The sequence below is a fragment of the Homo sapiens genome, chromosome 14 (assembly GCF_000001405.40).
Source record: "Homo sapiens chromosome 14, GRCh38.p14 Primary Assembly".
Taxonomy (NCBI): domain Eukaryota; kingdom Metazoa; phylum Chordata; class Mammalia; order Primates; family Hominidae; genus Homo; species Homo sapiens.
In genome coordinates this window covers 87,367,732-87,380,186 of record NC_000014.9, presented here as the reverse complement: position 1 = coordinate 87,380,186, position 12,455 = coordinate 87,367,732, and the positions used below count along the sequence as shown (strand labels likewise).

General features: G+C 38.2%; 1 long non-coding RNA gene across 1 annotated transcript in view; it reads left to right on the top strand.

Annotated features, from left to right (window-relative positions):
* LINC02296 (long intergenic non-protein coding RNA 2296) overlaps positions 1 to 12,455 on the top strand; it is a 268,818-nt gene that overhangs the window by 233,277 nt on the left and 23,086 nt on the right. The window contains exons 10-11 of the long non-coding RNA XR_007064294.1: positions 10,355 to 10,447; positions 11,661 to 11,741. This is a non-coding gene — a long non-coding RNA (long intergenic non-protein coding RNA 2296). The remainder of the gene's footprint in view (positions 1 to 10,354; positions 10,448 to 11,660; positions 11,742 to 12,455) is intronic.

The following is a 12,455-nucleotide window of genomic DNA, read 5'->3' as shown; positions in this document are numbered from 1 at the left end:
ATAGAACATGTACCTACGATCATATAAATAGAACTTCCAACAGCAATATAGGGTTGTTCACACTCTGGATTGTTTAAAGAGGTTGTTCAGTTTGTCTCAATCAATTAAAATAGAATTGGTACCTTCATGAAGGGGCCAAATCATGCAAATGTGTACATTATACTAAGATACTGCTAGTGAACTGCTGGGCCTTCTGTTATTTAAAAAGTGTACTTTACACCAGTAAAATAAAACTTTAAGAAAAACTTCTTGTTAATTTAGAGATTTACATAGAGAACACAAAAACTATGGCTACAGAAGCTGTGTCCTTACAACAGTAAGGAGGTTAATGGCAAAGCCTGTGCTTTTAACCCTAATACTGGACAGTTCTAAGTAAAGCAAGAACTAGGCCGATTAGTACAGTATCTTGAATTTCAGGAAATCTGGATGGCTGTATTAAGCACAGGGATCCGATTTCTCAGAAGCTCATACTTTTCCAGGTTTTAGATAATGACTGTCTATATGTTCAATAATTGGAAATAGTTTCTAAGTAATAGAAAAACAGTTTTGGAGAAAGAACTAAAGAAAGCACTAAGTGATTCATCAATACCAATTTGGGTGTATGATCTGTCAAAACAGTAAAAGAGAGACTTCCAAAAGAACAAATGCAGAGAGTGCATTTCTGGAGGCCTAAAATCTAATTAAAATTGCCTGGGACAACTGGAGATAGTGCTATCCTAAGACCCTTTCACAGGCATGTCAAGAAGAGAACAAAGAGATATCTGGTCTTTCCGGCATAAAATATGCACCATCTCCAATTGTCAAGAAAAGGACTTCCATTTGTGAATGTGAAATTTTTTTTAAATGAAGTAGTGAAGAGTCCCATGTGATAATTTACTGAGATTTTTAAATAAAACTGAAGGCCAAATTCCCAGAGGACTGATTTCAGGGAACCATTGGATTATACAGTACCTTTAAAAGCAGCAAAATCTGTTTTCTCATTGTGAGGGAGTTACAGTAAGAGAGGGAAACTGCATATTTTCCTCAGCTGTGACTGGCCAGAGTAAAATCAAGAGTGTGAAAAACTGTGTGCAAGATATGGAACCTCTGACACTGGAATTCAGAGATGAAAACTCAAGGCAGGGCAAAAATTATGCCGAATGGGCAAGTAGCATGGATAGTCAATGAGTCATTCACAGTTACATGAAGTAGCCCTCATAGTGGAAAAGTTGAATGGCCTATTAAGGAAAATTAAGAAAACACTTGGCTCCTGAATTTCACAGGAAATGGGCAACATGTTTCAACCCTGTATTAGGGACCTAAATGAGAGGCCATCAAAGGAATGCCACTATTCTGCCACGAGTAGTTATGTCCATAGCAGCCGCCAAAGAACACTAACGAGACATGTCCAGAAACAAAATTCTTTATGGTCACAAAGGCTGATGGAGTTGCCAACAAATTTCAAAGGTGATTTTGTCTCCAGCTGATATGACTCAATTGAATTTTTCCAAGCCATAGGTGAGACATGTTGAGGAATTCATCTTTTAATTATAAAATTAGGCTGGGCATGGTAGCTCACACTTGTAATCCCAGGAGTTTGGGAGGCTGAAGCAGGTGGATCGCCTGAGGTCAGGAGTTAGAGACCAGCCTGATCAACATAGTGAAACCCCGTCTCTACTAAAAATACAAAAATTAGCCAGGTATGGTGGTGCACACCTGTAGTTCTAGCTACTCAAGAGACTGAGGCAGGAGAATCTCTTGAACCTAGGAGGCGGAGGTTGCAGTGACCTGAGATCACGCCACTGCACTCCAGACTGGATGACAGAGCAAGACTCTGTCTCTAATAATAATAATAATAATAATAATAATAATAATAATAATAAAATTAGCTGGCCCAACAAAGTAGGAGGACTATTTAAGGTATTAATGTATCTTAAATGCCATCCATTAGAGAAAGACCAGAGGCATTCGACTTTCTAACCTAATGAAGTGCTAATATGCAAACTCCCTCTGTCTCTCTCTTACACACACAAATCACCAAGGAAATTGAGATGGTGGTGGAGGCAGAAGCAGAAATAATACATTGAACTAAAACCAGACAACTTTCACATGGTGAAGATTAACAAACCAAGGATAAACGAATCTTAATATGAAATAGATAAAATTGGCATTGACTTTTTGGAATGATTTGGACACTTTGAGAAAGGTTGTGGTATCAGTAGCACTTATTGACACACTTTGCGACCCATTGGGAAATTCTCCTTAATTTGTGATGAATGGGTCTAAGCAAAAAATTATTGTGTCAGCTCCATTCCAGTGTTGGTGGATATTCAGGCTGGTTGCTTTTACTGTGGCTGTTTATGTAACAAGTGTTAAAGTTGTATGCATAAACACCTCCCATGTGATATGATGACCCAGATGCACAATGTTAATGACACCACTACCTTAATTTCTTCCCTCTTCATCTAAAACCAACCACAAACAACAACAATAACACAGGTGCATACACAAGCACAACAGCTAGTTTTGTTTGTGCATAGTGGACAAAATCCTGTGTTACAGAAAGGGCAAAGACCATGTGCATGAGGAGCTGTCAGAGACACCCTATCAATTAGTTCCTTATAAGAACAGGTCTCATCTCATGAATCAGTGTAACAGTTTAGTGTTTTTCAGTCTGGGGAGAAATTATCATTTTGCTTCTAATATTAATTTGGCAACCATATTTTATACATCTTGTTATTGTCGGGTTTGTTCTGTTCTGAATGCTAGCCCTGCACCGAGACATAAAATAGCAAGAAGGGGGATATTGAATGTTCTCAATACAAAGAAATTATAAATGTTTGAGATGATGAATATACTAATTACTCTGATTTAATCACTATACATTATATGTGTCAAGACATTAATACATACCCCATGAATATGTACAATTATTATTTGTCAATTTAGGAATTAAAGTAAATTTTTTAAAAGACATTGAACACTCAAGAGGGAGCTTTTGTGTTATTAAAGAAATGGCCAGTATTGTTTAACAACTCAAAAGTACAAATTACCTAATGATTTAAAAGAAATGCTAAAGGAAACTTGGCAACTCTGAGGACAGTTTTGAAACTGCCTTATTTCACAAATGTAAAATAAAATTAAAAATATCGTGTGTTGACAGTAAGGGATTTCAGAGGCATATGTGTTAAAATTCTACCCCATCTTGATAATAATATAAAATTATATACTCATGTGTATCTATCTGATTATTAGTTTATGTATCTCAAAAATACTATTGCTTGGTTAACTCTGTGCCCAGCAGTTTTGGAGGCATGAGAACAAAGCAGGGAACAAAAGAAGACAAAAATCCTTGCCCTCATGGAGATTCTACTCTAGTAAGTAGGAGAGAGATAATACACATACAACCATGTGAATTCCATGGTACATCAGCTGGTGTTCAGTGCTAGAAAGTGACAGGTGAGGGATGCAAATTTGAGAAAGACTGGTCCAGAAAGGACTCCTTAAAGGATAAAATTGAACTGGGATATGAAAAAAGTAACATTTATGTTTGTTAGTTTTAAATATCAGAATCAGATGAAGAAATGTTTTAGCTAGACACACCTAATTAATAGTATCTGGATCACTGGAATTTAATCTGTGCACATGTAACACAAATAAATGGCAACTTCCTCTATTGATCATGTTGAAGATGAAGCCTGTGATGTTAGTTTGGCTAACTAATTAACTAGTAGGATCACTGAAAGATAATTGTTCCCCATCCCACACTCCCCACTTTGATAACACCACTTGTAATGAGAAAATATTAAGACAAGTGCAAAACACGACCATTTTAGTAGCACTCAACTGGATATGAAAGTCATTCTGGAATGCATGAGTATGAAACCGTAAGTGTACCCATTTATTCATCCAACAAAAACTTTGCTGGAGTAATTCAGGAAATAAACAAACTTGAGGACTTGCGAGACATAGAGGCCAGATTCTGCACTAAAATATCTACGTAGATAGGATGCCACAGCTAAGATTCACAGTGTTATATAATTTTAGTGGAAGTACAAAGCATTAGCACTTTTATTTCATTTACAGGTCTCTGTGTTTCCTAACTATCAGACTTACTCTAATATCTAACCCATATTTTATAAGTGACATTTAACAATACCCATAATATGTGGCCCAGCAGAATTGGCACTTGAGGTGCTCAGGCTCCCTGAAAATTCAAGTCTCTTATCAAGTTCCATTCTTGTTTTCCATGACACCTATTTATAAACAGCCACCATCTTGTGGAAAATCCATAATAATTTCCTTATGCACCGATCCTGCCTGTCATACCACAGTCTGTTTCAAGTGTTATGTTGGTGTAAAGAGAGCACATCATATTACTTAGAATTTCAGCAAAACATCACAAAACAAAATGATAAGGGCTCATAATTACAAACACACAAATTGTCCATTTTAGGACCATTTTATAAGAGATCATCCTGAGGTTTTATGCAGATGATTTCTTGGCAGAGATGCTATAGCCCTGGTGTTCATACTTTAATGAGTATTAGTTGTCTGAATTATTACTGAGGCCATAGAGAAGAGCATGAGCTGGCCAGTCCAGATGTACAGGGATGGCACCAGGGGTGATAGAGCAAGTTGGAAATGAACACTAGGATGAGATTATTATAAGCTTGTGGGAATCAATCCAGTATCCAATAAAGGATGTAATTGAAATGTTTAAGACAGAGTTTGGAAATACCCTGGCAGAAGGGTAGCATTAAATGTGCTGAGTACATTCTTGCATTGGGGTTTATGGGATTTAGTAAGAAAAGTTACCAGGAATACAGATATTCAGGGAAATTTCAATAACAACATGAGGTAAATAAGGGATGTGATAAAACATAATTATTTTTCCCAGAGAGTTATTACAAAGAGACCCAGTGAGAATTTTAAATGGGACAGAGTTGATTGGAGGTGTGGAGTTACACTTCAATAACCTATGAGTACTGAAAACTAAGTTTAGAGGTAATTAATGGAAATGAATTGAACAGCCTTCCTGCCTCTCCAATAGATGCTGTTTTTCAAGATAATTCTGTCAAGAGAGAAGTGTCTACTTTACAGAAGTCCAGATAGTACTGTAGAATGAATAATAGAATTGGAAAACAAAAATATACTTTGCAATCACTGACATATAATGTTAAAACAATTTTGTGGTTGGACAGTTATGTGATACCAAAATAATACCCACCAATCACATTCTGGTTGAATGGGGAGAAGAATAATTTTACCATGGAGGAATCGAGTGGCCATTACCTTTATTCAGGGATCAATTTTAGGTTTGGTAATAATCGGATGATTATGTATTTTTGGTGTTATACAATGCAATGTACAAAATGTTGCCTCTCATGTCCTTCTACTAAAGATATTTACCATCAATTTAAGCACATTTCTATATTTAACTTTCATTTTGAAGAAATTATAGGGGATGTAGAAGGAAGTTCCCTGTATTCATACTCTTGTTTTTTTATTGCCTTCCATTAAGTGTGAGCCTGAATTAGTGACTTGCTCCCAATTAATAGAATTCAACAAGGTGATGGGCTGTCACTCCTTTTTTTTTTTTTTTTTTTTTTTTTTTTTGAGACAGAGTCTTGCTCTGTCACCCAGGCTGGAGTGCAGTGGCGCGATCTCGGCTCACTGCAACCTCTGCCTGCCGGTTCAAGTGATTCTCCTATCTCAGCCTCCTGAGGAGCTGGGGTTACAAGTGTGTGCCATCATTCCCAGCTAATTTTTGTATTTTTAGTAGAGATGGAGTTTCTCCATGTTGGCCAGGCTGGTCTCAAACTCCTGACCTCAGATGATCCACCCACCTCGGACTCCCAAAGTGCTGGGATTACAGGCATGAGCCACCGTGCCCAGCTCATTTCTAAAACTGCATTACAAAAAGACTCTAGCTTCCATCTTGCTTGTCATCTGTTGCATGTTCCGTCTCTTTCACACTCTGATGAAAGCCACCTGCCATATCGGGAGCTGACCTATGAAAAAGCTATGTGGCAAGCAACTAAAAGAGATCTCCTACCCACAGTCACCAATGACCTCAGCCCCTCAGCCTAACAACCCATAAGGAACTAAATCCTTCCAACAATCATGTGAATGAACTTGGAAGAGGACCTTCCCCAGCTAAGCTGTGTCTAGATTCCAGTAGCAAAGACATTGTGAGATGATAAATGTTTGTTGTTTTAAGATGGCAAGTTTTGGGTTACACAGCAATAGATAAAATATGCAAGCCAAATAACACCACAGGGAAATTTGGAAGGTGGAACACTGTAAATGTTCTATACAACAATCAACATGCATTCTTTTCAAGGCAGAGTGTCATCGCCACTTGGAATAAACAAGAGATGCAATCTAGAGATTTGCTTTGTATCTTGATTTGCACAGAATAGAGACAAAAGACATTCTTAGGACAGTTGGAAAAATTAAATATGGATTGGGTATTTAAGTATATTAAGGAATTACTAATTATGTTAGGATATTGTTACGTTGGCTCTAAAAGAAGATGTTTTCTTATGTATATATAAATATTTAAAGGTGACATATTATATTTTCTATTAAATATAGTACTTTATATTTCAATATAGTCAGATAATGTAGGGGTGTTTCAGTGAACTGCACTTCTTGGAGGTGGTAAGTTAGCATTTTTTTTTTTTTTTTTTTGATACAGAGTCTCGCTCTGTTGCCCAGGCTGGAGTGCAATGGTGCAATCTCCGCTCACTGCAAGCTCTGCCTCCCGGGTTCACGCCATTCTCCTGCCTCAGCCTCCCGAGTTGCTGGGACTACAGGCGCCTGCCACCATGCCTGGATAATTTTTTGTATTTTTAGTAGAGACAGGGTTTCACCGTGTTAGCCAGGATGGTCTCAATCTCCTGACCTTGCCTCGGCCTCCCAAAGTGAAGTTAGCATTTTAAGTACCCTAATCATGAATCTCATTCTAAGTGTGACCACAAATATCATTATAGAAATCTATAGAAGAAAGTTTATTTTTAGCCATTGGGCTCTTAAAAAATAATTTTTACTGGAGAAACATAAGGAAGGGGAAAGACATGTCTTTGACTAGGATGATATGTGTTTCACCATCCTTGCATGAAAATGAAGTTTAAGGATTCAGGTAGAACAGCTGCCAAATACCTTCAGAGCAGTACGTGTGGTATAGATCTTCATGGTTCCAGTGGTCTCCCTTAATAGCCTGCTCTAGCAATAGAGTTGACTGTTTCTCAAGTGGACACACTGTAGCACCTGTACTAGAGTGAGATTTTTATTCCAGGCACTTGCTTGTCAGAGTATCTGAAGCCAGATAATGGAAATTTCTCAAATTTATAAGGAAAAGTCCTGTGATAGTTTGTGGCCTGCTTGCTAATAAATGGCAGGATTTGGTTGAAAACTTGCTTTTGTTGTATTAAGCCACCTGGTAGCAAGGTTCTGGAGAAGGAGACATATGGTTCCTACCTCACTTTAATTGCCAGGGGACACCTGTGTTACTCAGGGTTCTCGAGAGAAAGAACAATAAGACAGATGGATGGAGATGGATAGATAGATAGATAAAGGATTTATAATGGGACTTGGCTGCTGTGATTATGGAGGCTGAGAAGTCCCATGATATGCCATCTACAAGCTCAAGAACCAGGGAAGCTGATGGCATAGCTCAGTTCAAGTCTAAAGGCCTGAGAACTTGGAAGCCAATCAGGTAAATCTCAGTCTGAGACAGAAGGCCTGAGAAATGAGAGTGCCAGTGGTGTAAGTTCTGGAGCCTGAAAGCTAAAGAACCTAGAGTTCTGATGTCCAAGGTCAGGGAAAGATATGTATCCCAGCTCCAGAAGAGAGATGAATTTGTCTTTCTTCCTACTTTTTTGTTTCATCCAGGCTCTCAACCAATTGGATGGCACCTGCCCACCTTCCCTAAGAGTCGTTCTTCCTTACTTAGTACACTGATTCAAATGCCATCTCTCCTGGAAACATCCTGACAGACATGCCCAGAAATAATGTTTTACTGGCTATCTAGATATCCCTCAACCCAGTCAAGTTGACACCTAAAATGAACCATCACAATACCAATTGTGAAAACTGTGTTACTATTTGTCAAAGATTTGGCTTTCCCATCTGGTGAGAAAATTATACTTGCCCAACCTGTTGAAATCAGGCAGGGCAATGACTGACTTAACTATGGCTAACAAAATATAAACAGAAGTGATATGTGTCACTTTTAGGCAGAAGTTTTCAGAGTCGCTGCTTGATGATAAGACATGTTCTTTTTCACTAGTCTTCAAATATGGAAGCATGTGAAAAGTCTGGGCACCTCACGGACCACAAGGAGCAGAGGTCCCTGGATAACACATGATGGATGTGTGACAAGAATGAGAAATAAACAGTGTTGGTTTAAGCCTCTGAGATTTTGATTCCACTGCATAGCCTAGCCTCTCCAGAATGGCCAAGCAAACCTTCCCAAACAGACCTGATGACGAGTCAGCGGCTGAAATCAGCCTTCAAAACTAGCTCCCAGTGAATGGACAATGAAACTTAGAAATGAATAAACTGAAAGCACGTGAAAGGACTGGAAAAATAGTAAAAGGAGTAATCAGTAACAACTTCTGACTTCCTCTAGCCATCCTTCCACTTAACTAAGAAAATTTGAAGCAACAAAAACAATGTATGCAAGCCTACATCACGACATTTATCTGCCTTCAAGACTCCACTCACACAGTTTGTCTTTCCTGTTGCAATTAGAGTGAACTGGTAGTGATCTTATCTGAGACCAATTTATATGTGTGTTCTAAACCTCATCTCTTCCAGCCTCCTCAGGAACAACAATTCTCCTGCCTTTCTTCTATGCCATTAATTTCTTCCCTTCTACCACTGCATTCTCATCAGCATTTAACATGGGTCTTGCATCATATCCCAATACTCCTGTTAACAGCCAGCCACATGGGACTACTTGTCAATCACCTAAGCCTACAATGCATTGTCATTATGTTATGCTTTAGGTGAACTGGTGATCTTCTGCTTGAAATGTTACTTACCCCCTGCAACCATACAAACATAGTTTGTCTCTCAAACCCTCCAAATATTCCCTCTGTGAAACATTTTCTGATTTTCCTCAATGAGAATTATTTCACTTTTGTTTTCTCAACAGTTTTTTTTCATTCACTTATTTGAAGTGCTTACTATATTGCCAATCAGTGAACAAGATGTTTTAAAGGAAATGTGGGCACATTTGGGCATATGCACAAACAACACAAGGCAATTATCCTAATTATGTTTTGAATCAAATTCTAAATGTAATCATTTGTGGTTAAACATATGGAACTAATAGTTGAGCACTTTTAACTTTTATTTTGATTATCTCTTTATTTATCCACCTTTCCTTGTAGTATACTAGTGTTGGATGAAAGCTTTCTTTGGTCACTGGGGTTCATTGGTTATTGGTCAAGACCATGAGGCTCAGAGTAATGCAGATGTGACTGTAAGTTCTGCTCTTCTGATTATCTGTGTCTCAGCTTCATTAAAACCTGGATTTCTTAGTTATGCAGATGCACGATTTTGTAGGATCAAATGTGTGATGCTTATAACACAATTAGCACACTGTCTAGCACAGAGTTGGTCCCTCATAAACACTGGACATTACTGATTCTGTAAATATTGTTTTATTTTTATCATCATATTTATTTTCACAATAGTATTGCAGTATCTGGCATATAGTAGTGCTTATTAAACATGTGATGGATTAATAAATGAATGCTGCATGAACTTAGCTGATTTCAAATATTTTTCTCACCAGCAAGTTATATTTTATTTTACTCTATAAGAGAGAATGGTTAATAATTTAAAACAGAATAAAATAATATGGTGTCTTCTAGGAAAATAAAGAAAGCGTAGTCAGCCTTAGTGACCAGCTCTAGTACTTTCTAGAAAAGAAAACAATGAAGGTAATAATTGTAAGCAGTCTCATATGATTGTGAGTTGGCCATAACAAATGTGAAATGTCACCACTTTCTTTTATGTATCCTGGAAAATAGTTTCTGGAAGTAATAGTTTTAGTTTGTAGCCATCTTGGAGTTTCTGTTCATGGCCTATTCATTGTTCTATAACCTCTGGTAGGAAGACGTATCCCAATCTTTGTCCCTACACTGTTAGTGTGAGTTTCATGAAGCCCACTAGACAGTCTGGAATAAACCCAGCGGTTAACTGACTACCTGTGAAGCGGCACCCCCTTACAGTCAGAGAGAGAACAGATGATCCCACCCACCCTTAGCAGAAATGGAAACATTTACTTCTGCCTGGTAGACTACTGTGAGTCCACACAGTAGAATCTGACCACCTTCTACTTCTTGTCTTTGACCAGCAGTAAATGAAACCAGCCCAGCTGCGTGCTCACCTGAAACTTATTTTCTCCTTCACGTTCCAAACTCATGACTTGCTTGTGGCAGAAAAAAAGGTAATTATTATTCAGTAAGTTTATGCTCCTTTACAGGGTAGAGTTGTTGCCTAAACAGACACTATATTTCCCAAGCTCTACTCAGTCAAGGTGGGGCCATATGGCTGGTCCATGCCAGTGGAATATGAGTGAAAGTGATGTGTGTCACTTCTGGGCTGAGAAGAATATGTGTCAGTTGATGAAATACAGACACCAGGATAAGCTAGGAAGCCATGTGTTTCAAATGACAGTATCCTTCAGCCTGGATCCTTGAACAACTCCTCAACTCCAATTTGCCGATCACAGGAGAAATAAACTATTGGGTTAACAAACTGGGATTGTGGGTTTGTCTGTTCTGGAAACTGTTTCCTTAACTTTAATATAGCCCATCCAATTATTTATGTACCAGCATAAAATAGTCTCAAGGAGTCCTTCATATTCAGAACCAATCAATCACTATTCAATTGCTCGTAAAGCCACCGTTGAGTTATCTAGTGGACAAAATATTTTGTTGGAGTCATTTGGACCAGTTTTTGAATATGATTTATATGAATTCTTTACCCTGAAGCTGTCAAAGTTGGCATAGGTAACACTATGTACTGCAATAAACAACTGCAAATTTCAGTAATTTCACTCCAAAAATGAAGGAAGAGGAATTTCCTCAGAAAGGAAGAATAAGTTTAATCTAAACTGTTAATTGTGTTTTTCCCAGATCTATAAATAAAAATGCAAATAATTAAGAGCATTAAAACATAATATTATTAGTAATATAAACTTTACAATATAATGACGTCAGAAAGCATCTTAAGGTCTTATTCTGACAGTTTGTTTTTGCTTAGAACGTTTTGGTGAAGGGTGTTTGGAGTTAATATCATCTTGGAAATCTGAAATACAATTTTTTTTTTGTCTTCTGTGAGTTGTAGAAAGGGCATTTTGAAACCCCTTTTCCCAATGTGAAAAAAGGAAATGGAGAGGGAGATAGAATTTGCCTAGACCTTTCTGAAGATTTGCTTACTTACTTTTGAGACACACAAGACATAGATACGGAAGATGGGCAGGACTTTCATCAATACTGCCCAAATAAGAAGAACACAAAAGCAGGTACCTAAAAATTAGACTAGTTGTTTAAGCATATTTTACCCCTGGGCCACATGAAGAGGAAAAGATTAACAGCAGTCATCGTAAATTATGTTTGATACTCATTTTACATATTTCCTTATTTAATTTTTCTAAGAACTACTTCGGGGTCCGCAACCCCTGGCAGTGGACCGGTACCAGCCCATGGCCAGTTAGGATCTGGGTAACACAGCAGCAGGTGAGTGGTGGGTGGGCAAGCATTGCCACCGAGCTCTGCCTCCTGTCAGGTCAGCAGTGGCATTACATTCTCATAGGAGCACAAACCCTATTGTGAACTGCGCATGCGAGGGATCTAGGTTGTGTGCGTCTGATGAGAATCTAATGCCCTAATGCCTGATCATGTGAGGTGGAACGGTTTCATCCCGAAACCATTACCCACTCTCACCCGCCTGTCCAGGGAATCTTTCCTCCACAGCTCATGCACCTGATTGCCACTATTGATGAAAATCAGCTTACCTGGGAAATAATAATTAGAAATGATGTCTTTCAACCACTGTGCAATCCACAGGTCCATCCTTGGTGCCATGCCTCAGTTAAACTAGGAGAAGGAAACCTTCGCACCTCAAACATCCCCTCAACCCTAGTTAAGACTGACAATAGAGAATGAGTTGTAATCCCTGTTTAATCTCAGAAGTTCTGCCTTTAAACGGTGTAGCATAAAAATGAATAAGTAACTTTTGTTCTTACTTGGAAGATTTTGGATAAAGTGTGAGTCTATGAAGTCCCTAAAGCTGAGCTCATCAGCTCTTGAAGTGATGGTGACTTTTGCAGGTGCTGATATTTTAAGGGTTTTTTTTTTTGTTATAGTTATAAAATTCATGACCATTGAAAAGGCAGAGTGGAAACACAATAGAGCCATAATTCTTCCACCGGCACTACTGCAAAAAAAAAA